This window comes from Homo sapiens, chromosome 4 (assembly GCF_000001405.40).
Source record: "Homo sapiens chromosome 4, GRCh38.p14 Primary Assembly".
Classification (NCBI taxonomy): Eukaryota; Metazoa; Chordata; class Mammalia; order Primates; family Hominidae; genus Homo; species Homo sapiens.
Genome location: NC_000004.12, coordinates 17812145 through 17837344, shown reverse-complemented (window position 1 = coordinate 17837344; position 25200 = coordinate 17812145). Strand labels below are relative to the sequence as shown.

The 25200-nt window shown below is 35.1% G+C and overlaps 1 protein-coding gene across 5 annotated transcripts in view; it reads right to left on the bottom strand.

The window, feature by feature from the left end:
• NCAPG (non-SMC condensin I complex subunit G) overlaps positions 1-25200 on the bottom strand; it is a 33887-nt gene that overhangs the window by 7521 nt on the left and 1166 nt on the right. Inside the window, exons 2-15 of one of the 5 annotated variants that reach the window (XM_017008543.3) lie at positions 24921-25124; positions 24200-24428; positions 22347-22492; positions 21987-22071; positions 19892-20084; positions 19257-19406; positions 14222-14362; positions 13575-13698; positions 12288-12377; positions 11778-11963; positions 8957-9067; positions 6229-6348; positions 2822-3046; positions 5-186 (exon numbers count right to left, since the gene is read on the bottom strand). In XM_017008543.3, coding sequence (XP_016864032.1) covers positions 5-186; positions 2822-3046; positions 6229-6348; positions 8957-9067; positions 11778-11963; positions 12288-12377; positions 13575-13698; positions 14222-14362; positions 19257-19406; positions 19892-20084; positions 21987-22071; positions 22347-22492; positions 24200-24428; positions 24921-25124 — 2186 coding nt within the window. Of the gene's footprint in view, positions 1-4; positions 187-2821; positions 3047-6228; positions 6349-8956; positions 9068-11777; positions 11964-12287; positions 12378-13574; positions 13699-14221; positions 14363-19256; positions 19407-19891; positions 20085-21986; positions 22072-22346; positions 22493-24199; positions 24429-24920; positions 25125-25200 lie in introns of those variants that run through there. The other 4 variants (NM_022346.5, NR_073124.2, XM_047416072.1 and 1 more) reach the window with 4 other exon arrangements.

The window sequence follows — 25200 nt, the reverse complement described above, 5'->3', positions numbered from 1 at the left end:
ATACCTGCTTGCATAAGCAAACACGGGGAAGAACACGCCTAGGCAATGTCGAAGTTGAACATCCTCTTCAGTCACAGGATTGTACCATAACAAAATAAGACGAGAAAGAATCCTGCTGCTGACCAAAAGCCCAGAGAACATCAGCTTGGCTAGTCCTTCTGCAGCTCCAGTCCTAAGTTCAGATACCTAACAAAGATGACATTCATTAGAAGAAATTTATTTGTATCTCCTTTTTAAGCCTCTCAATGTAGCCTGTCCTACAGTATTTTTACACGAACCATCCAAAAACCATTCGAGTTATTACAAATTCTTTAAAGGCAAATAAAAAGACTGTTTCTTCAAAGCTAGAATAACAATTTTAGACAAATCTAAAAGACTAGGAGACTAGACAAATGCTTAGTCTAGCCATGAAAAATTCAATTATCTTAAAACTTTTTAGAAGAACCAAAAGGCCTTTTATAACTGTTGGAAAAAAAGAGCAAAACATATATTTAAATGCTTAGGGTTTCTAAGACATAGAAAACCCTGGCCCCTGGTATTAGAGGAAGGTGCCTATCTATAAGCAAAAGCTCCATATGTAGGAGTGCAATTTGTCTGAATAATGGATAGAATGTGAACAGAAGGTGTTGAAGCAGAAGGCATTCCTAGAAAAAGTAAACAAAAGTCTAGAGAAGACAAAGGAAAAGACAACTGGATGTACACAGGCAAAACAATGAAGCTGGACCTTAGACCATATACAAATATTAACTGAAAATGCATCAACAGCCTAAATATAAAAGCTAAAGCCAGAAAACTCTCAGAAGAAAACAGGGATAAATCTTCATGACTTAGACTTAGCACTGGATTCTTAGATAGGACACCAAAAGCAGAAGCAACAAAAGAAAAAAATGAGTGTATCTCCAAAATTAAAAATGTTTAATACATCTAAGTATATTAACAAGAAAGTAAAAAGACAACCTGTAAAATAAAAGTTACAAATTATACCTGATAAGGATCTACTACCCAAACTATATAAAGAACTCTATAAAGACAACCAACCCAACTTAAAAATGGGCAAAGGACTTGAACAGACATTTATCCAAACAAAATATACAAATGGCCAAGAAGCAGATGAAAAGATACTCAACATCACTAGTCATTAAGGAAATGCAAATCAAAACCACAATGAAGTAGCACTTCATATATACTAGGATAGCTATAATGTTTTAAAAAATGGAACCTAAGTGTCAATAAGGATGTGGAGAAATGGAAAACCTTCTACACTGAAGATGGAAATTTAAAATGGTTCAATCACTGTGGAAAACAGTTTGTCAAGTTCCCAAAAAGTTAAATGACTGAGCAACACAATTCCTAGGTATACAGATACCCAAAAGAATTGAAACAGCTACTCAAACAAATACATATACATGCCATGTTCATAGTAAGCAGCACTATTCACAATAGCCAAAAGGTAGAAACAGCCCAACTGTCCTTCAATGGATGAATGCATAAACAAATCACCATATATACATAAAATGGAGTATTCGGCTACAAAAAGGAACGGAGTACTGATACAAGATACCATGTGGATGAATCTCGAAAATGTTATGCTAAATTTAAAAAGCTAAACAGAGGTCACATACTGTATGATTCCACTTACACAAAATATCCAGAACAGTTAAATCCATAGAAACAGACTGCGGATTGGTTGCTGTCAGGGCTGGCAGAAGGGGGAATGAGGAGCAACTGCTTAATGAGTAGTTTCCTTTTGGGATGATGACAATGTTTTAAATTAGATGATAAAGGTGGTAGTTGCCTTTCATTTTGAATGTACTAAATGCCAATGAATTGTTCACATTAACAGTATTAGTTTGGGCCAGGCACGAGGGCTCACACTTGTAATCCCAGCACTCTGGGAGGCTGAGGCAGGAGGATCACTTGAGGCCAGGAGTTCAAGACCAGCCTGGGCAACAGAGCGAGACCCTGTCTCTACAAAAAATTTAAAAATCAGCGGGCATGGTGGCACATGCCTGTCATTCCAGCTATTCAGGAGGATTGCTTGAACCCAGCAGGTGAGGGGTCAGTGGACTATGATCACGCCACTGCACTCCAGCCTGATGACAGAGCAAGACCCTATCTCAAAAAAATAAAATTAAGTTTTGTTATATCACTTCTAACTCAATGAAAAACTACAATCAGTATAAAAAATTTTTAATCAGTTGGTTTACATGTGTGCTACAAAAATAGTAGTTCAAGAGTACTTAAAAGAGATCCAATCCCATACCCTATCTTACATCTTCTACCCACCCAATATAAAATTATTCTAAACTATTTCTTAAAAGTCTTGGGGATAAATCTTAGAGTCTCTATATCACAAATACAACATAAAGAAATAAAAAATAACAACCCACTTTAATCACTTCATTTTTGTTTATACTTCATTTCTTTGCATATACAATTTGATAGTGAGAAATTAGGTATGATAGTGAAAGTTAGGATTTAATTAAGATATTTAAAAAGTAAAATAAAAAATGTCTATCCAAATTTAAAATCCAGTAGGAAAAATAAGATATAAAGAGCATAGGGGAGAGGAACATCACACACTGGGACCTATCAGGGGATAGGGGGGTAGGGGAGGGATAGCGTTAGGAGAAATACCTAATGTAGATGGGTTGATGGGTGCAGCAAACCACCATGGCACATGTATACCTATGTAACAAACCTGTATGTTCTGCACATGTATCACAGGACTTAAACTATAATAAATTTAAAAAATAATAATAATAAACAAATACATGCTGAAAATGACATTTCATAATCACAGGACTGGATTATTTCTTACCTCACTATCTAAGAAATCAGAAAGGAGTTTCAGAACATTCTTAGCTGTAGCAGTCTCTTCAACTTCTTTTGATTCTTGCTCATCATCACTGTTTATTTCTGTACCTTCACAATGAAGTGTTTTGATTTTTTTAGTTTTAAATGGTTCAATCCCGAACGTCATCAGTTGGTCAAAGATTGCCTTTAAAGCACTTATTTTTATTGTGACATCATCAATTTGCAAAACCTAAATCAAGATATTCCCCACCAAAAAAAGTAAATTCAGTAAACTGTTTTGTTTCTGTTTACATAAAATTAATATGTATCTTGTTTTTTTCTTAGTCAAATTTTAATGACAGTGTCTAGTCTAAAGAAAACATCACTTTTCAAAAATACAGTTAAAATTTCAATTTAAAAAAATGTTATTTTTATTTATTTGAACCATAACATATAATAGAGCTATATACTTTAAGACAAAGTTAATCTTCACAGTCAATAAAAATTTCTGGAGTTGGAGTCAGGCTGAATTATATTATTTGTTCCTTTTATTTAAAAAAGAATCAACAATGCCTTCAACTATGATTTTATTTTTTTAAGATCCAGAAAAACTGTTCAATTATGTTGAAAGTGTTCTAGCCCATCTGTCAAGAGAAAAACATTACATTCTAAGCAATGAAAGGCATTCATTAGAACAGTATTCTTCTAGGTTATCAAGTTTCATTTTTCTCTCATTAGCTCAATGAATTTAGAATTCCTTAACAGTAAACTCAGTTTTCAACTAGACTCCTTTATGAAAAGACGTAAATCACGAAACACAGCACTTTGTATGAGTCTATCTTAAGTTTAAAAATGCCCACCAAATTTCAAAGCCATGAAAAAAATACAGAGCTCAGTATTTATATTACAAAAAATATATATATATAGTGAGAAATTAAGTATGATAGTGAAAGTTAGGATTTAATTAAGATATTAAAAAAGTAAAATAAAAATGTCTATCCAAATTTAAAATCCAGTAGGAAAAATAAGATATATATAACAACAACAACAACAACAACAACAAAAATATATATATATATTTTTTTTTTTTGAGATGGAGTGTCACTCTGTTGCCCAGCCTGGAGCATAATAGCGCAATCTCAGCTCACTGCAACCTCCACCTCCCGGGTTCAAGCGATTCTCCTGCCTCAGCCTCCTGAGCAGCTGGGATTACAGGCACATACCACCACGCCTGGTTAATTTTTGTATTTTTAGTAGATGGGGGTTTCTCCTGCCTCAGCCTCCTGAGTAGCTGGGATTACAGGCACATACCACCATGCCTGGCTAATTTTTGTATTTTTAGTAGAGATGGGGGTTTCACCACATTGGTCAACCTGGTCTCAAACTCCTGATCTCATGATCAACCTGCCTCAGCCTCCCAAAGTGCTGGGATTACGGGTGTGTGCCAATTTACTATATTCTTTAATGTAATTAAATTTAGGTAATTGGTAAAATAACTTGGCTCTATAACTTGGCTTTTAGAACAAATAAATATCACCTGTAAATAATGAATTGAGAAAAATGGCTCAATTTTTCAAAACTTTTAAAGAAATTTCAAGAGCAGTTCCTGATTGCCAGAAATGGTCCATTATAAATCCAGAATGGTCCATTATGAAGCAACACGGGACAGCTGGGTCATTCTATCATCTTTAAAATATTATCTTCACTTGCTTTCCAGGAAATCACACCATTCCTCTTTTACTGTCCAATTCACCTTAGCCCCTACTGGTTCCTCTTCATCTCCCCTACCTTTATCTGAGGCTTAGGGTCCTATAAAGTTGACCCTACACTCATTCAGTCTATACTCATTCCTCAGGCAACATCCTATCTCTAAGCGTTGCATACTATCAGATACTACCAAAAGAATAAAGACTTCCATCTCACCATCTTGGACCTCTCCCCTATACTCCAAACTCATATATAAATGCCTATTCAATATATCCACTTGTACCTTAAACTGTAAACTTATCATGCCCAATATTGAACTCCTTATTTCATCCTATCTGCTACAAAACCTGCTCCTCTGCTTTCCCCATCATAGGAAAACGCAAATTCATCCATCCAGTTATTCTGGCGCAAATCTTTAAATTATCCTCCACCTTTCTCTCACATACCATGTCAGATTCATTAGCAAATCTTAGACTTTATTTTCAAACTTAGATTACCATCCTGCTCACAACCTCAGTAACCACAACCCTCGTCCAAACCATCGCCATCGCTTTCCTAGATTATCAAATACCCTCCTTATTAGTATCCCTGCTTCCATACTTGTACCCCTACTTAATACTAGGGATCTGCAAACAGCTCAAATCCATTCAACCACCTGTTTTTGCATAGCCTGCAAGTTAGGAAGTTTTGCATTTTCAAATGGTTTAAAAAAATGTATTACATGTGAAAATTACATGAAATTCAAATTTCAGTGTCCATAAAGTTTTACTGGACTACAGCCATACTAATTCATTTATGTATTATCTACAGCTGTCTTCACACTACAAAAGCAAAGCTGAGGAGTTCAGACAGATCATATGGCCCACAAAAATCTAAAAATATTTACTCTCTGGCCCTGTACACAAAAGGTTTGCCAAACCCTCCCTGGTCTACACCACTTTATGCCCAGTCAGATCATAACAATCTTCTACTCAAAGCCCTCGAATTCCTTTCCATCTCATTTATAGTGAAAACTGACATCTTTACAGTCTATAAGGTCCTAGAAGACATGGACATCCTGCTGCCAGCAAACCCTTTTTCCTATTATTCTTCCCTTTGCTCAATCTTTCCTAGCCATGTGTTCTCTTATTCCTTGAACACACCCAAAGTCCTACACCCCAGTGCCTATTCCCTTATTCTTGCCTCTCCTTGGAAACCCAAATAACCACGTGGTTCGCTCTTGTACTTCCTTCTGGTATTTGCTCAAATGTCAACTTATTAGTGAGGTCTTTCTCAACCAAACAGTTCCCTCTCCTCCTTCCCACTGCTTAATCCCCTTCTCTGCTTTATTTTTCTCTATCTGATACATTGTATACTTATTTTTCACTGTGTGTTTCCCCTTCTAGAATGTAAGCTCCATTAAGACAACACATTTTATCTTGTTTTATTCACTACCTACCTACTTTATTTCTTCTAAGTCTAGAACAGTTGCTGGCACATAATACGCACTCAATAAGTATTTGCTATGTGAATAATTAAAAGAATATCTTACATAATTGGCGTTTCATCTTTTTCTACAAAGACATTTTAATAAGAAATCAAAAGATAAAAGTATTGTGTCTCCAAAGATTATCCATAATAATCATCATCAATAAGAATCAGAATAGATAAATTCAGAGTATTAGCATTATCGCCACAGAGTATTTCAGGAAATACAGTTGAGATTTATCACAAGATAAATCCTACCTGCAATAGTAATACGAAGTGTTTCCTTGCAAAATCCTGATTCTGTAGTCCACAGCATCCCAAGCATAAAACAGCCAGGTTTCTTACAACAGGATGAATACTTATTATTCCAGGAAGAATCTAAAATGAATCAGAAATTTTCCATATGATTTCATAGATCTACTTCATTTCCCTATTGTCTATTACCTCAAAGGTGTCATTTTTCACTTTTAAAGAAAAGGTAAGTATTAAATTGCTAAAACAGAACAATATAGCCAGAGTGACCTTCCTGAAATAGGGTCTGACCATGATACCTCCCCTCCACCTGCTAAAAGGGACTCAATGGTTTCCCAATGCTCACAGAACAAGATAAAACTCCTTAACATGATATATACTATTCCCTATTGTGTAGTTTCTTTCCCAATCTTCTTATACCATGCTACCTCTTGCTCAGTTTGTTCAACTAGTCTGGCTTGGATTCAATGCTATCCAACAGAAATATAATAGAAGTCACAAATGGGTACCACATATGTCATGTTAAATTTTCTAGTAGCCACCACATTGAAGTAAAAAAAAAAAAAAAAGTGAAACTAGTCTTAATATATTTAACTCAATATAACCAAAACATCGTATCTGTAGTATTTAATCAATATAAATACTATTAACAAGATAAGTTACCTTCTGTTCTTTGTACTAGTCTTTGAAACCCAACATGGTTTTTTCTTTTTTCTTTTCTTTTTTTTTTGAGACAGAGTCTCACGCTGTCACCCAGGCTGGAGTGCAGTGGCGCAATCTCGGCTCACTGCAACCTCAGCCTCCTAAGCTTAAGTGATCCTCCTACCTCAGCCTCCCAAGTAGCTGACAGCACAGGCCCGAGTCACCACCCTTGGCTAATTTTTCTATTTTTTTGCAGAGATGGGGTTTCACCATGTTGCCCAGGCTGGTCTCAAACTCCTGAGCTCAAGCCATCCCGCCTTGGCCTCCCAATGTACTAGGATTACAGGTGTGAGCCACCACGCCCAACCCCCAACATGTTTTTAATCCTTACAGCATATCTCATTTTGGTCTAGTTTTTAAAAGCCATGTGTGGCTGACAGCTACCATATTAAACAATCTTCTCTCACTTTTTCATACATGTAATGTCTACTCAAATATCAGACCAGGGTCACCTTCCATGAATAGTTCAAATCCTGCTATTATAAGTTCACATACGGCCATATAGCTCTTCTTCATAGCAAGCACTAATAGCACAAAGTTTCACTTATTTCTTTACTTAATCGATGCTCCTCTCACTTGACCAGATCAACGTGGGCAATCTATATCTATTTTGTATACCATGTACCATCCCAGCACTTAGTATGTAATAGATGTTCAGTAAATATTTGCTCAATGAATAATTTGTATTTTCCCAATGAATAATTAAATCTTTTATTTAAAACACAGTAACTTCATAAAAATATAACTTTTATCCAAACATCTTTTATATTCCTCTACTAATCTCTTTCAATCTTTAACCAGATTTTTATACATTTAAAATCATTATGATCATTCAATTTTGTGTTTATTCTTCACATAACACTGTATATCCTTTCCCACATATATACAGTCTTCGTATTTACTACTTCAATTTTGTAGGACCAGACATAAAATGCCCAAGCACAAATTAAGCATCACTTTTCACTAAAGATAACTGCTTTTCCAAAAATAAAGCTAAATTCTAATGGTTGAGTACAAAACAGTATTTCTCCAGAAGCTCTAAACTATTAAAATTGGTTTTCTTTACTACATTCAGGAACTCATGACAACCCAAGGAATTAGACTTCAGATTACATTCATTGGCTATTTCTCACTAATACCAAGTAAATACAGTTTTGAGAGACTTCTGTAAGAACCTGGCTACATACAGAATTTGCTTTGAATGAGTAGTACTATCAAAAACAACAACAACAACAAAACAGCGCACTAATACTGTAGCCATTAGCCTCATGTGGCTACTGAACACCTGAAATGTGACTAGTCCAGTTTAAGATGCGCTATAAGACTTAGTATGCAAAACAGAATGTAAAACATTGCAACAGTTTTAATAGTGAGTAAATAATGAAATGATTAATATTTTGGATATATTGGACATATCCAAATAATACAGTTGGATATATTCAATATACTAAAATTATCCTCTTTTTTTTTTTTAAAACAGTGGCTTTAAAAAAAAGCCACTTTTTTTAATGTGGCTACTAAAAAATGTAAAGTTACATATGGTTTGCACTATATTCCTTATCAGAAAGTAATGTTCTAGAGTCTTACAGTACTTGTGTCCCTATGGGAATTACCTACAAAGGGTTATTTTAAAAGCCCTTTAAATATAATAAATAAATTCCTTTCCCAGGGCATAAAATGTGATTGTCTCAGTCTCATTACGTAGCACAATTCCAGTACTTAAATATTCTTGGTATGTTTCAGTATCTCCTCTCTTACTATTCAAAAAATGAAGATATTCTGTATCTCTTTCCAGTATAAAATCATTTTTTAAAATATGTAAAAGACTGTAATTTACATATCAGGTCCTTTACAGACATCTTATTTAATCCTCACAATATGAAGTAGCTGCTATATATATATATTTTATCATTTATACTTATCAGATATTTAAGACAGTAATCTTTTCATTATTTTGATTTCTAAAGAACATATCACTTACAAAATAAGAAAGGAGTGGACTAAAATAAAGCCCAAGAGGCCATCAACATACCAAAGATTCGATGATTCCATTCATGGTTGCACTTAAGCCTGTTGAAATGGACATCTGCTTCAACAGTTCATAGCATAAAATAAGACATTTCTGCAATGTTTCAGCATCATTCTAAAATGAAGACAAAATATTCAGCATTAGTAATATCTTCTCCCCATCCTTTAAATGTTTGCTTTCTCAGGGCTTTGTGTAGGGCATACTGTCACTCTATATAGACTCTGTAGGTGATCTTACAGCTATCACACAGATAGTAAATGGTAGAGGCAGGATTTTAAAATTGGCAACTTCAGCCAGGCGCAACGACTCACGCCTGTAATCCTAGCACTTTGGGGGGCCAAGGCAGGTAAATCACTTAAGGTCAGGAATTTAGGACCAGCCTGGTCAACATGGCAAAACTTCATCTCTACTAAAAACACAAAAATTAGTGTGGTGGTGCACACCTGTGGTCCCAGCTACTTGGGAGGCCGAGGCACGAGAATGGCTTGAACACGGGAGGTGGAGGTTGCAGTGAGCTGAGATCATGCCACTGCACTCCAGCCTGGGCAACAGAGGGAGACGTTGTCTCAAAAAAAAAAAAAAAAAAGTCTAATCTTCATCTTGCCTAATTATCACCTCAAAAAAAAAAAAACCTGACAACCTCGTTTATCATCTATGAGCTAGCCCAGCTATTTTCTAAGTTTCAGATTCATATATATAACTGCTAAAAGACATTTCCTCTTGATGTTCCACAGTTTCCTCAAACTCAACATGTCCAAAAGGGAACTCATCATTACACAAATCTCTCCTCTTCCTTGTTCTCTATCTTCATACTGTCATCACCATCTACCCAGTTGTCTAAACCAAAAGACTTAAGATACATTCCTGACTCCCTTTTCTCCGTTACTAATTTCTAAATACCTCTCAAGTTCATCACTACTTTCCAAATCCACTGTCATTATCTTGTTCAGACTACCATCATCTGTAAGTCTCCCAACCCTACTGTAAGTCTCCCAACTATTATGCCTGTCTAAGCTTTTACTACTCTCCAATCCATTTCCTAAACAACAGTGATCTGAGACATAAGACTTACCTAACCACTTAAAATACTAGTGGTTCACCACAATCCTTAGAATACAAAATTTTTAATATTGCTTACGCAAAGCCTTACATGACCTAGCCCTTAATTTTTCCCCAGATTTTTCTCCTGCTTCTCCCCATCAATTCTCTAGTCACATGGACCTGAAGTTTTAAAACATAATAGGCATTCTTTAACTTCTGGACCATCACAGATGTTGCTCCATCTGTCTACAACATTCCTTCCATAATTCATTGAGGAGAGACAGCACAGAGTGAGTTAAAAGCACAAGTCTAGAGCCACTTCTTGGGTTTAAATCCTGCCTCCACCATTTACTATCTGTGTGATTTTGGGCAAGTTACTTGCCCTTTGTAAAATGAAGATAATAATAGTACCAACCTCATAGGCCTATAGGAAGAAAAGAATGAATTCACATTTGTGAAGTAATTAATGCTGTGACTACCACAGAAAAAGTATCCTCTGACTGTTAGATTATATTGTTATTTTTATTCTAATCTCAGGATAAAACATGTCTTCCTCTGGGGAAGCCAACAATACTCTACCAGCACTAGAAACCTCTCCATAAAACCTCTATACTTCCCTGACCATAGCATTTATTATGCTCTGTTGTAGTTGCATTTTAACAGATTTGTAGCCCTCGAACAGGACAAATAGACACATAAATGGTCAAAGCAAGTCAAGTTAAACAGACGATATTAACCATGATAGACTACTTTTGCTAATTTTATAATTTTGACCTAAAGTTTGTCATTTTTCAGATGATATTTTCAGTTTTTGCTTTAAATTTGCTTTCCAAATTTAATAGCCTATAATGGCCCACAGACTTCGTCAAATAAAAGAAGCCACCAGCTATCAAAATAAAATTCAGGCATACACTCTGGGAAGGTGGGTGTTGGAGTTGGGATGTCTATGGCTAAAGAGATCAGAAACATAACTCATGAAACTCTCCTATATAAAAGAGTCTCCTATTTAGCATTCTTTTTATGAGAATAATCAGCACATCCCAAAAGTACAACAATAAATGATGTTCATTACAAAAGGCAAGATCCCAAAAGAAATTAAAGTTAATATCAAATATTAATTGATACCTATCTTATGTTTACATATTTATCATTTGTTGTAAGACAGAATGGTATCGATACCATTAACAAAAAATTTCTTTCAGAAGGAAAGACATACTCCATTTAAGAGAGTACTTTAACAAACTAATTTTTTAAAAAACGAACTACTGAAAAGCAAGCTTTAAATGTTACTAGACATATTTCAGTATTTCATTAAAAATAACAAAGCTGCGTAGCTTTTTCTAAAAACACAAAAGTAATTTAGCTTTAAAAAAATGCACGTTACCATAGAAATTATTTTGCTAGCAATAAAAAAGAAAGGTCATTGATCCTCCACAAATAAGAGGAAAATGGATGTATTTTCCTTTTTTAAACCATTCAAGACAAAAAACAGAAAACTCAGATGTGAACCACTGGAAAGCTAGCTTCCCTGGTAAGAAAGACTTCGGATTCTAGAGATTAGCATGACAAGGAAGCAAATAAAGTCCTACCTCCAATAATTAAAGTTAATTAAGGCCTTTCAAAGTCCAAAAATAGAAACAGGGAAAAACTTTTTTCATTTTAATTCATGTCACTATTACAAAGTGCTCAAAGTAAATATATTTTGGCAATTCTAGAAGTTAGAGAAAATAAGATTTAGTTGAGATGATTAATAACACCTGAGATTTAGTATGAAAAAAGTTACCTGTACCTTCTCTATGTGGACTTCTTTAATTTCAAGTTGCTCTGTCTCTTTCAAAAGGTTTATTCTGGCATCTTCTAATGCTTTTATTTCTTCTTTTAATTCTGATGCCCGATTAAAATCCTGTAAGGTAATGCAATTTTCCAAAGCTTCTTTGGCTTCGATAAGCTTAACTTTTATTTCAGCCATCTAAGGGAAGATATAAATTGTTTCAACACTGAACAAAAACTGTTAATATGAATATCTGTAGCAACTCAGGAGTATTATTTAATATCTCAACTGCCCAGAATTTAATGAGTCAGGCATATGCAAACTTGTAGTTTTCCTGACACAGAGATCTGCATATCTCTGAGACTGACATATGTGGTAACATTTTAAATATTCTTATAGTTTAACAATTAAACAATAATTTGATTATGTGAGAAACATTTCAGAACTGCACAGCAAGAGGAAAGAATAGACTTGCCCAGCTACATTACACTCAAGCACTTCTTTCATTTAAAAGAGACTTACCTTGAGTTCTTTCTTTCTTACATCAGCTGGATCGTTATTAACACCAACAGTAACAATGGGCGCCCGAATCTCTGAGATAATTTCTGTAACCTGTAAGTTCAGAGTACATGCTTTAATATATGTTTGATATATCAGCAAATAGTATCAAAATTCTATATAAAACTCCAAGTAGTATCCACCATATATTGAATAATGGAGCAAAAACATACTGGTAGAAATAGCACACATTCTGTTTGCTAGACAATTTTAGAAAAAAACAAAACAAAACAATATATCTGACTACAAAATGAAATTATTTGAATGGAAGGGAAATAGGCACACAGACAGTGAAAGTAAATTATCCCTCATATAATGTTTGAAAAACAGAAATATGAATTATGGTGCTTAAGATGAGACACTTAAATTCTCTGCCTAAAATCCTCAACCCTTCTCTTGTTCAGCTCTGTAGGAGTTAAACACAGAAAAATGGAATATCCTTTTATTCTTCCTTTGGGTAGACAATGCATAAATAATAATAGCATAAGGAAGGACTTTCCTTTCAGAACCACTTGTATATTGGAATTGGCTGATCAGGAAAAGGCTGCCTCCCAAATGAAAGTATTTAAGCAGATGCTGAATAACAACTAAGCATGTTGTAGAAGGGGTGTATATATAAGGAGAGGATGGAAGAGATGATCTGTGAATTAACCTGCAACTGAAATTATGTGATTTTTATGAAATAAATGATACAGATCTGTCTTTTTTGGCTATGCCAGAAAAAAATAACACTGAAATAGTATTATAGTAAACAATTATTTCTGTATTTATCAAGCAATACAGAACAATACCTTTATGAACAATACCTCATTGAAAAATGAAAGGTAGATTTCATTGCTATTCTTATTTGCAGACAAGTAAAACAGCAGAATAACTTGTCCAAAGCCACAAAGCCAGAAAGTGTCAGATGAGATTCTAAACCCTAGTATGTACAATTTGAGTAAGCTCTCAAAAACACTAGCACCCAGTGCCTCATGGACAAAACCATATCCCCACTTGTAACTTCCTACCAAACCTGCTCCATTTCAAACTGATTCAACAATAACAGGTACACTAAGAGGAAGAAGGTGACATTTTTCAAATATTCTGTGTATGTAAGAGATAGATAATGGTTTTAAGAAATTTTAAAACTCATTAAAGAGACGAACCTAAAACAAAACAGACAAAACAAAAAGTTCTAAACAGAAAATAAGACAGTATTCAATGTCATTGACCAAAACCTCTTTATCAACAATGAGGAAAATTACTTACAATTTGTGTTCTCTTATTATCATCTATAATGATGTGGAGTAGTCTTTCAACAAGAAAAGAAACCAGGGATATTGGGATTGTGGGTAAAATAAGAATCTCCTGTAAAACAGCCAGCAGTTTTTTTCTGCAGTCAAAAAGAACTAATTTAAATATTATTATGACAAAACATGTTTTATCTCTAACATTCACCTACTCTGCAAACTTAATTACATTTGCCTCAGTTCTTTCACTTAGGTTTATCACTATAATAGGTACAAAAATCTGTATGTACAGACTTTAGGTCAAATATTCTTATTCCACACAAAAAAAAATTTTTATAAAACACCCTATGATTTTTAATAAATCAACATGATAAAATGACAAAATACCAGAAATGATTAAACCTTTTAGAAAATGCTACTAGCCTTAATAAATCTAAACAGAAACTTTTAACCAAAAACTGCAATTTCATTGATTTATTCTGAGGAAATTGAACTAGAAATATAAATGTATGTGTATATATGGAAATATGTAGAAGGGAAAAGAAAACTTTTTATACCACTTTAGAGAGCTAGGGTAAATATGTTTAGTTATATTGTAAAAGGACTATATTTCAATATAAGAAATTAGAAGGGCAAATTAGAATGAGTGTTAACATTTAGACATACCTTCCTCCTTCTTCACTGGTATCCAAAGACTTAATAATTAGAATCAATTGTTGACCTATGAATTCTTTTGTCATCAAATTTCCAATATAGGAAAAATCACCTCTGTGTTCTTCATTAACAACTGGAATGCTCTGGATGTAACTAAAACAAGCAGAATTAATAAAGTAGAATCTTTTAAGAAACATCAAACAAGAGTTGATTCCCACCATTAGGTCAGAAAAGGGCCATTTTCAGGTCATATTCGTCTAAATACATATCTATGCCATGTAATTTGGTCTACAAACTCAATTCTATGCCACTGTCATTAACTTTTGCAAACAAACTTATTGATGAATCAAAAGAATTTGAAAATGTATTTTCAATAATGACTCAAATTTTCTATGGGAAATTTTCAAAAGGTACATATTTATGTCTAACTGATAACTAATTATTTCAATGTCACTAGCATTCTCCCAATTACAGATGGTCCCCAATTACAGGTGGCCCAACTTACAATTTTTCAACTTTAGGATGAGTTTATCTGAGAATTAAACTCATTTGACTTATGACATAGCCCCACTTTAAGTCAAGAAGCATCTATCAAGTTCTGAATCCCTTACCCAAAAATCCAATTAGTCATAAAGATCTAATCTTCAGCCGGGCACAGTGGCTCACACCTGTAATCCCAACACTTTGGGAGGCCGAGGCAGGTGCACCACAAGGTCAGGAGTTCGAGACCAGCCTGGCCAAGATGGTGAAAACCTGTCTCTACTAAAAGTACAAAAAAATTAGCCAGGCATGGTGGCTACTGTAATCCCAGCTACTCAGGAGGCTGAGGCAGAAGAATTGCTTGAATCCAGGAGGCAGGGGTTGCAGTGAGCCGAGATCGCACCACTGCACTCTAGCCTGGGTGACAGAGAAAAACTCCATCTCAAAAAAAAAAAAAAAAAAAAAGATTTAATCTTCATCATGCCTAATTATCATTCTTTTATTTTTAAAAATTGTAACAATAGTTACACAAGTAATCCATGAATACAATTATCTTTTTTGAAAAAAATCAGAAAAATAGAAACAATTTCACAAATTTTTATTATTCTTTCTTAGAAACCCTACTAATCTCTGTATACACCACCACCATCAGCTACCTTTTATTTTAACTTTTTATTCTTACTACAGACATCACCACCCAAACTAAAGCCCTTTATAATCCTCACCAAGAAGGCTGTATATTCAGTAGCCTCTGCTTTTTGTGTGGAATAAAAAAAGCTACTTAAAAGCAGAACTAAGAATTGAAGCTTAGACAGCGAAGTGCCTTTAAGATGGAAGTAACATGAAAAACAATCCTGATCAAAAATGTCATTTAAAAAATGTCAAAAATGTCGCCGGGCACAGTGGCTCACACCTGTAATCCCAACCACTTCGGGGGGTTGAGGCGGGAGGATCACTTGACATCAGGAGTTCAAGAAGAGCCTAACCAACATGGTAAAACCCCATCTCTACTAAAAATATAAAAACCAGCCAAATGTGGTGGCAGGCACCTATAATCCCAGCTACTCAGGAGGCTGAGGCAGGAGAATTGCTTGAACCTGGGAGGCAGAGGCTGCAGTAAGCCAAGATCACGCTACTGCACTCCAGCCTGGGCAACAAAGCAAGACTACGTCTCTTAAAAAAAAAAAAAAAAAAAAAAGGCGGGGGTGACAAAAACCAAGTTACAGAAATTGTGGTATAATGTATAATGAGTATACTCTCATGTATTACAAAGTGATGACCAAGAGTAAATAAAAGCTCATAAATTTCTGGCCACAAGATTAGGACTTTTAAGACATCAGCCACCCTTTGGGTTCTAGTAGGAAACTAAGGAAAACTACACTACCGATAACTATCAAAATCAACCAATCAGTAGAGTTACTCTTTTCTGACAGGCTAAAAGAAAACCTTCATTTATACTCATCTTTGTATCTCTCCCCACTTCTCCAGCCCAGCTTTAGCAAAATGCACAGCATCTTGACTGAGTTTTTTTTTTTAAGTAAATTCAAACAGTTGTTTAATTAATAGATTAAAAATCCTCAACTGCATAAATACAACTTAAAACTGACCCACCAATTTTAGTTACCATGAAATCCTAACCATTTATAAAGACATTTATTATAATGAAGAGACCACTCAAGAAAGTATTTTAAAGTCTAAGAATTTATATTTAAGATGGCTTTCAACAAATTTTATTGTTGTCCCTTTTACTTACTCTAATTTGATAATCCTCATTTCCTCGTTTGCTCTTTAAGTGAGCACCTTGGTTAACCAAAATTGTTTCACATCAGAGTTCTTAGTCATTGAATCTACTGCCTAAAATATACAGTATGCCTGAAAACATATTCCTGAGATTATCAGGAAACAATTTTTCAATTTAATTTTGTTTCTGTACTCAAGTATACTAATCCCATCTAGTCATGTTCCTCCAAAAAGACACTCATTCTATTTTTTAGGTATTCTTTCAACAATCACTAAAATAAATTTCTGAAAGTTTTCTTTTTTTTGTTTTTTTTGAGACGGAGTCTTGCTCTGTTGCCCAGGCTGGAGTGCAGTGGCGCGATCTCGGCTCATTGCAAGCTCCACCTCCCAGGTTCACGCTATTCTCCTACCTCAGCCTCCCGAGTAGCTAGGACTACAGGCGCCTGCCACCACGCCCAGCTAATTTTTTTGTATTTTTAGTAGAGACGGGGTTTCACTATGTTGGCTAGGATGGTCTCGATCTCCTGACCTCGTGATCCACCGGCCTCAGCCTCCTAAAGTGCTGGGATTACAGGCATGAGCCACCGCACCCAGCCGAAAATTTTCCTCTTTAAAGGTGAAGAAAATAAGTCGAAGAGGTTAAAGTTACTTATTTCAAAACTAAGAGAGTGACAAAGGAAATGTTAATCCCTGACCTTTCAGAAGGGAGGAATCAAGCTTTTTACAAGTCACCTTCTGATGCTGTCCTTGAGGAAAACTCCTCCCCCTTTATGCCATTTAAATATTTAACATTTCCTCATATTTTCTTATATTTTCACTACCTTCTATAAACATCTTTTATATTTATATATATTATTAAACTTTGCCACAAACTCATTCCTTTTGGAAACATTTCAACATGGCCCAAACAGCATTATAATGAATTCCCTACTTAAATGTCAAAGTCTGAAATAATTAACATTAAAATGCTCATTAGATTCACACAGGTTCTTCATGATGTTAACATGGGCTTGAGCTATAGTTTCCCTACTGGCTCACATTTGAGATACTTATCCTAGATTTAGGATTTTTGAGGGGAAATTTAGAGGCATGCACAGCTTTGCTGCCTAACTTTTATGTGAGATCATTTTAAACAAAAGCAGAGAACTGTACTTCATACAGATAATTCAGGTCCATAATTCATATTATATGGAAGCTTTTTTAAAAAAATACATCAGGCTGGGCGCTGTGGCTCACGCCTGTAATCCCAGCACTTTGGGAGGCCAAGGCAGGCAGATCACGAGGTCAAGAGATTGAGACCATCCTGGCCAACATGGTGAAACCCCATCTCTACTAAAAATACAAAAATTAGCTGGGCATGGAGGCGCGTGCCTGTAGTCCCAGCTACTCAGGAGGCTGAGGCAAGAGAATCGCTTGAACCCGGGAGGCGGAGGATGCAGTGAGCCGAGATTGCACTATTGCACTCCAGCCTGGCGACAGAGCAAGACTCCGTCTCAAAAAAAAAAAAATAAACCATAAAGTTGAAGTTAAAAACCTACATACCAATATCTATCAAAATATACATATATTATCCTTTGGTGTAGCAACTTATTTCTTGGAATTAACCCCCAAAAATCCCAAAGGTACCCAAAAATGTAAAGGAAATTTAACATACTTTTGCTTTTATCAGTGAAAAATGGAAACATCCTAAATGTCCATCAACAGAGGAATAAATTAAATGTTACCACCATACTACGGAATGATATGCTGTTAAGACTGTAACAGTATCTATTACATTATATATGCACCAATATATAATGATCTCAGTTATCAGTTGAAAAAAAAAGTATATACACAGTGTTATATTTTTAAAGAAACCTGTACTCAAAAAATGTATATAAATGCAGAGAAAGAGGTTTGAATATACACCCTATATTGTTTAGTTGCTAATTCTAAGGGTTGCTAGAATATACACTTAGTTGCTAATCAATGGGATTGAGGAAGTAGGAAATAAAAGAGGGAATTCCACATTTTTATTCCTTATACCTCTGTATTTGAATTTTGACAAGAATGCATTCATGTTTTTCTTGTATAATTTTAAAGTGAAATAAAGTAATCCAAATAATTTCTTAAGAGGTATAATTATGGTAATCCAAATTGTTTTTTAAAAAGGCATATTTTGAAAAAACTTTAAAACATGAAGCTAGATAGTAAGTTTTTAATAAATAAAACTGGCCACAAAGATCCACGCTGTGAATTGGAAAACAATGTTCCGTGCATCAAATCCAGCCTATTACCTGTTATATAGCTTGCAAGCTAAGACTATTTTAAATTTTTAACTGATCATTTTTTAAAATTTCTTATTTTGTTAACACATGAATATTAAAGTTCAACTATTTAGTGGCCATAAAAGTCAATAAAAGTTTTATTGAAAAACAGTTACTTACATTGTCTTTGGCTGCTTTTACAATACCATGGCAGAGTTGAGTCATTGTGACAGACGGTATGGCCCACAGGACCCTAAGATATTTATTATCTGACACTTAACAGAAAATGTGCCAACCAATTTCAGAAATAATATATCATCATCATCAACTTTATGCAGAAATGGTCATAATCATATCTTAACAGTTTTGAAGAAATGATCCTAAACATAGTGACTTGCTCTTTCAGTATACAGACCAGCACAAGATATTCAAAAAGACTCGATGTATATAACTATCCCTACATGTACAAAAAAAGGATTTTTAACATATTCACAATCAAACATGACTTTGAGGAAGGGGACTGGGAGATTGACACATGCAGCAACACAATCACTCTCCAAACTAAAAGAAAAAAAATTTACCTCAATAAATAGTCTGCATATACTACAGGCTCTGGCAAAATCTGCTCTAAAAATTCTTCACCTTCATCTCCTTTTGATTTCAAATATTCACAAAGGGCACACCAATACAAAGCAATTTCAGGAGTTAATGTTTCCACTGGAATCAATTTCCTTCATTTAAAAGAAAGAGTGTGAGAGAAAGCATGATCTTTTTATCATTAAGAATTGAAGAGTACAAAAATGAGAATAATAAGATTTGCTTTAAAACCACTACACTATCCTTTTAATTAGAGTCATTAATGTATCCACACAAAAAGGAATGAAGAAACTTAGAACAAAAAAGAACCAAATAAGCAAACATATACTAGGGGTGCATGTTGCTGGATTTTCTCATGGTAGGCTAATTCAAAAATCAAAGTAAGAAACTGAAGGGGGGAAAAGCATAGCTAAAGTAGATAGTCTATGATAAAGTTATGAGTTCTTACACCAGGAGGGGAAAAAGGAAGGATAAAAGGATATTCATCAGACTAAAAGAAAACAAAAGAGAGTTAAGATTAAAGGTATTAATATAATCTTAAGCTATGGGGAGGAAAAAAAACAAATTAATTGCACAAGTTAATCAGTACTACATTTCAAAGAATGAATCCTTTATGTACCTGCCATCATTGTTTTTACAGAGTCCCACCAGTTCACTGAGAGGAGTTATTGAAAACAAGGCATTGAGAACAGAGACTGCCACTTCAGAAGAATTTTCTACATCCAACCGATGGAGCAACTCTAAGATATTTCCTTCAGAGAACCGTAACCAGCCTTGAAGAAGATGCTTCTGCATAGCTTGTTTCACAGCATCTATTGAGTCATTTGAAACATAGGTGAACAAAGGCTCCCTCTAGCTTCCATCTCTTGTATTTTGTCTGTTTTAATTAACAAAGTCAGTATTTACAATAGAAATAGTAGAGGTTAAGAGGCACAACTAAGCATGTATATATATATTTTTTGAGACAGAGTCTCGCTCTGTCACCAGGCTGGAGTGCAGTGGCACGATCTTGGTTCACTGCAACCTCCACCTACCAGATTCAAGCGATTCTCCTGCCTCAGCCTCCCGAGTAGCTGGGACTACAGGCATGCGCCACCACGCCCAGCTAATTTTTGTTTCACCATGTTGGCCAGGATGGTCTCAATCTCTTGACCTCGTGATCCGCCTGCCTCGGCCTCCAAAAGTGCTGAGATTACAGGTGTGAGCCATAGCGCCCAGCCAACTAAGCATATTAAAGGTAAAAAAAAAGAAGTACCATGATACTGCAAAAGTCACTGTAATGGTCACTTACAAATAAAAATGGAAAAGGTTCAGCACCAAATACCACAGCCTACAAAAATATCTTTACATTCCTTCTCCCCTGGGTTCAATGGGCTTCAGGTGTTAGCCCAGAATATGTAATAGCTATTATCTCACTTGTTATCTGATTTTATCTATTACACGATTGCTATTTGCAGTAGTGAACTATACAAGCACACGTCACTGAACAAACCTTAGTCTTAGCTTTTAAGGTCATCCTACTAATTAGTCCTCTGACAATGTTTTCAAACGCAAGTCGGTTTTCTCACTACAGCGCAATAGAGCCATCTTGGCCTTCTCATGAGAGTTAAAAACTTCAAAAAATATCATTCCTATAAGCAGATTCTCTCAGGCTCCCCAACCCCTGGGCCACGGACTAGTACCAGTCTGTGGCCTGTTAGGAACCGGGCCGCACAGGAGGAGGTAAGCCGTGGTCTAACGAGCATTACCACCTGAGCTCTTCCTACTGTCAGATCAGCAGATGCATTAGATTCTCTCAGGCGCAGGAACTCTATTGTGAACTGCGCACATGAGGTATCCAGGTTGCACGCTCCTTATGAGAATCTAAGTAATGCCTGATGATCTGAGGTGGAACAGTTTCATCTGGAAACCATCCAGCCCGCCCTCTGTGGAAAAACTGTCTTCCATGAAATCGATCCTTGGTGTCAAAAATGTTGGGGAACTCTACTCTAACAGAAAAAAAAAAAAATAAGAAAATTATACTGGTCTGACCATTCCTATTTGTTGTTTCTGATACACAGAACACATTCATACCAAAGTATACACATAAGGAACAGCATTTTTTTTTTAAGTCAGAGAGAGAGGGCAAATAGATCTTTTCCTACTTCTGACATGAATTAGCTCTACAGACTTAAGTATTGTTTCTCCATCTGTAAAATACAGAAAGGGTGAAAGAAATAAGCTCTGCTCCTTCAAAATACCAAGATCTTGGCCAGACGCGGTGGCTCACACCTGTAATCCCAACACTTTGGGAGGCTGAAGTAGGTGCATCACTTGAGGTCAGGAGTTCGAGACCAGTCTGGCCAACATGGTGAAACCCCGTCTCTATAAAAATATAAAAATTAACCAGACATGGTGATGTTCACCTGTAATCCCAGCTGCTCAGGAGGCTGAGGCAGGAGAATCGCTTGAAACTAGAAGGCAGAGGTTGCAGTGAGCCAAGATTGCACCACAGCACTCCAGTCTGGGTGATAGAGTGAGACTCTGTCTCAAAAATATATATATATCAAAATCTTTAGCCCTGTGTTTTCTATATAATACATCAAGATAAATTTCACCAGGTTCATGGGACTGGCAGGCTTACTTGACCTGATTTGACACTCGTTTCTTAAACCTTGTTAAGTCTGACCTCAAAATCTACTAAAGTTTTGTATATATAAAGTTGTTTATCTTACCTGATCTGTCATTAAGACCTTGTTGAAGGAGCATTACTCTCTGAGCAATGGACATAGCTCTCATATGAACCTTTTCAGCTAAAACCTTAAAAATAATTTATAAAGATGGTCATTAACCTCAACACAATTTATAGATTTCATAAGAATATCACCATCTTAGAAAATTACCCAGAATCTCCAAAAGAAATTAATACCTGGTAACATACTTAATACAGTAAGATTCTACCTAAATTACCTGTGTTCTCCATAAAACCTCAACTGAAGAAATTATTACATGCCAAGTATTTTTCAAAGGCACTTTAAGAAAATGGCTCCTTGTCCTTTAAGAATATGCCAACACAAGACATTGAACTTATTTACCTGATAAGCCAGCTTTCTGACAGCCTCTTTCACATCCTTGGTGCGCCCTACAATTTTTGGCAAAGTCTTTGCTGATGGTGCAATACATGATAACACTGCCCGTCTAACTTCTGGATTTGAATCATTTTCAATCAAAGTAGCATATGCTAAAAATAAAGCAATACATTTTAGTACTGATGAAATTATTTATTTAACTACAGTCATAAAATAACACACATTTTGATATTTTAAAATGCCTTTAATGTGATAAAGATAGGCTGGGCATGATGGCTACTGCCTATAACCAGCACTTTGGGAGGCCAAGGTAGGTGGAGAGCTTGAAGCCAAGAGTTCAAGACCAGCCTGAGCAATATAGAAAGACCCCTGTCTCTACAAAATAATTTTAAAATAAAAAATTAGCTAGGCATGGTAGTGGCGCTTCCAGTTACTTAGGAGGCTGAGGTGGAAGGATCACTTAAGCCCAGGAGTTTGAGGCCACACCTCTGCAATCCAGCCCGAGTGAGAACCCATCTGTAATAGAAAGTAATGTCATTTTTTTAGTCTCACATATTTTAGTTGAAGTTTTTTTCCCACCAACTTCCTTCTTTTTCTTTTTTTTGGAGACAAGGTCTCACTATGTTGCCCAGGTTGGAGCCAAAGTGCTGAGATTACAGGCCTGAGTCACTGCTGCGCAGGCCACCAACTTCCCTTCTAAAGACACAAGGGGGAATTAGTCAACGGACTGGCTCTTAGGCCAAAAGTGAAAACAAATAGCCCTAAAAGTCACAGAAAATTCATCATTAAGATTATGTCTGTGCTACTCCTCAATATTTAAGAGAAAGCTTACTATAGCAGACAGTTTATTTTAAACTGATATGGCTTTATAAGGGCCCATTATTTTGGTTTTTAATGAGACCTAAAAGGAAATATTTTTTGGTTTTATTCATTGAAACAAACCCATTTCTTATATTTAAATATATTTATCTGTACTTCTCACATCTTTCCTACCTCAATTATTAAGTACAGGTTGACTATCAAATACCTATGTTTTACACAATATTATTATGGGTATCTTTTAACACCAAAAAAAATACCAACTACTATAGTGATAAATATACCAGTGATTATAAAACTGGTAATAGGGACAAAAAGGACAGAAGAGTGCCTAAAACATACCTAGGCATATATGGAAAAATGAAATACAACTACCTTTATGACCCCATAGGTAAGAAAAAGTTCCTTAAAAAAGAGATTAAAAAATACGAATCATAATGGCAGAGATTTATATTTTTGACATAAGAATTTCTGTTCAAAAAAAAGATACCCCAAAGGGAGTGAAACAATGATACCCCAATGAGCCACCTAAAACAGGAAGAGATCTACAATTCATATAACCCAAGGATTTCTTTTCAAAATATATAAAGAATGCAAATGAATTTTTTAAAATAGTATTTTAAATTAAAAACCCAATGAAAAAATGGGCAAAACACAGTAACAGGTATTATATAGAAATATAATTGGCTGCTAAATATATACATACAGCATGATTTACACAAAATGACAGGAAAACATTAAGATAGACATATGTGATTTATGCAAAAAAATTTTTTTTAATTTAAGCAAGAGACTAATTAACCCCAAACTGAGGATTTAATAGTTACTTCTGAGGGACAGGGATGCAACTGGGATAGGATGCAAGTACTGACTTTTTTTTTTAAGCTGGGTGGTTGCTACTTAGGTTTTTTTTGTTTAATCGGAATCATATATTAATTACCTATACTCTTCAAATGTATAGACCATAATAAAAAATTTCAAATACTGAGAATTTAACAAAATCAACAAATCTGAAAAAAGATTTAGGAAACTACACACACCATTAACCACTGGGCATTCATCATCCTTGGGATCCTGAAGTCGTGAAAGCGCCAGAACTGCCTGTATTCTCACATTTGGAATCTTATCTTTCAATCTAATAAGCATGGCTTTATTAATTTTATCAAACACATCATCATCAATCTGAGCATTTTCTGGCATACTTCCCAAAAGCTTGTTTATGAGCAGGCACACTCTAAATCTCACTGCATTGCTGTTTGCTTCATGAGACTAAAACAGAAACAAATCAAAATTTATTCATAGTCACATACCACTCCCAAATAATCAATATTATCTGAACTCTATACATTCGGAATGCAAGAAGTTACAACAACAATTCATTTCCTGAAGAGAACCTATAATGCTACCTTGGTCCATATGTATAGCAAATATATATATTTTATACAGTCTCAAAATGAACAGTCTGAAAGAAGTCTTTGCTAAGTTACATAGTCCTCTTTGTAGAGGCTTCTAAAATACAGAACTCATTTAAAATAAACAAAGGAGAACTGGTTTAAAGAGGTCATTAAAAATTTAATGCTGGAGTTAAAGTCCACTTTTTAATCATAATGATAATTCTAATATTTCCTATGAAAGGTAGACTCATTCAGGTTTTTTCAATCACTAGATATTTCATTGTCAAAAACATACAAACTCCCACGACTCTTTTAAAGTGGCAAAATTTTCTAAAATCCCTCCCCAAAGCTATCATTTTCATAGTACCTTTAAGAGAAAAGTAAACAAATAATTTAAAAGGCCACCATCTTCCTCTTCCTCATCATCTTCCATATCTGATTGGTGAAATGAGGTAACAAACTTTGCTGCAAATTCTATTACCCTCTCCACAGCTGGTTCACGTTTATAGACCACCATAACATATTTAAGGTAATGAATGAACTCCTCATGAAAAACTGTCTTATCATCCATCTGAAAGACAAAAGAAACCCTTCATAAACTGCACCGATAAAAATCCTTTATTCCCAACATCACCCTAAGACTGATG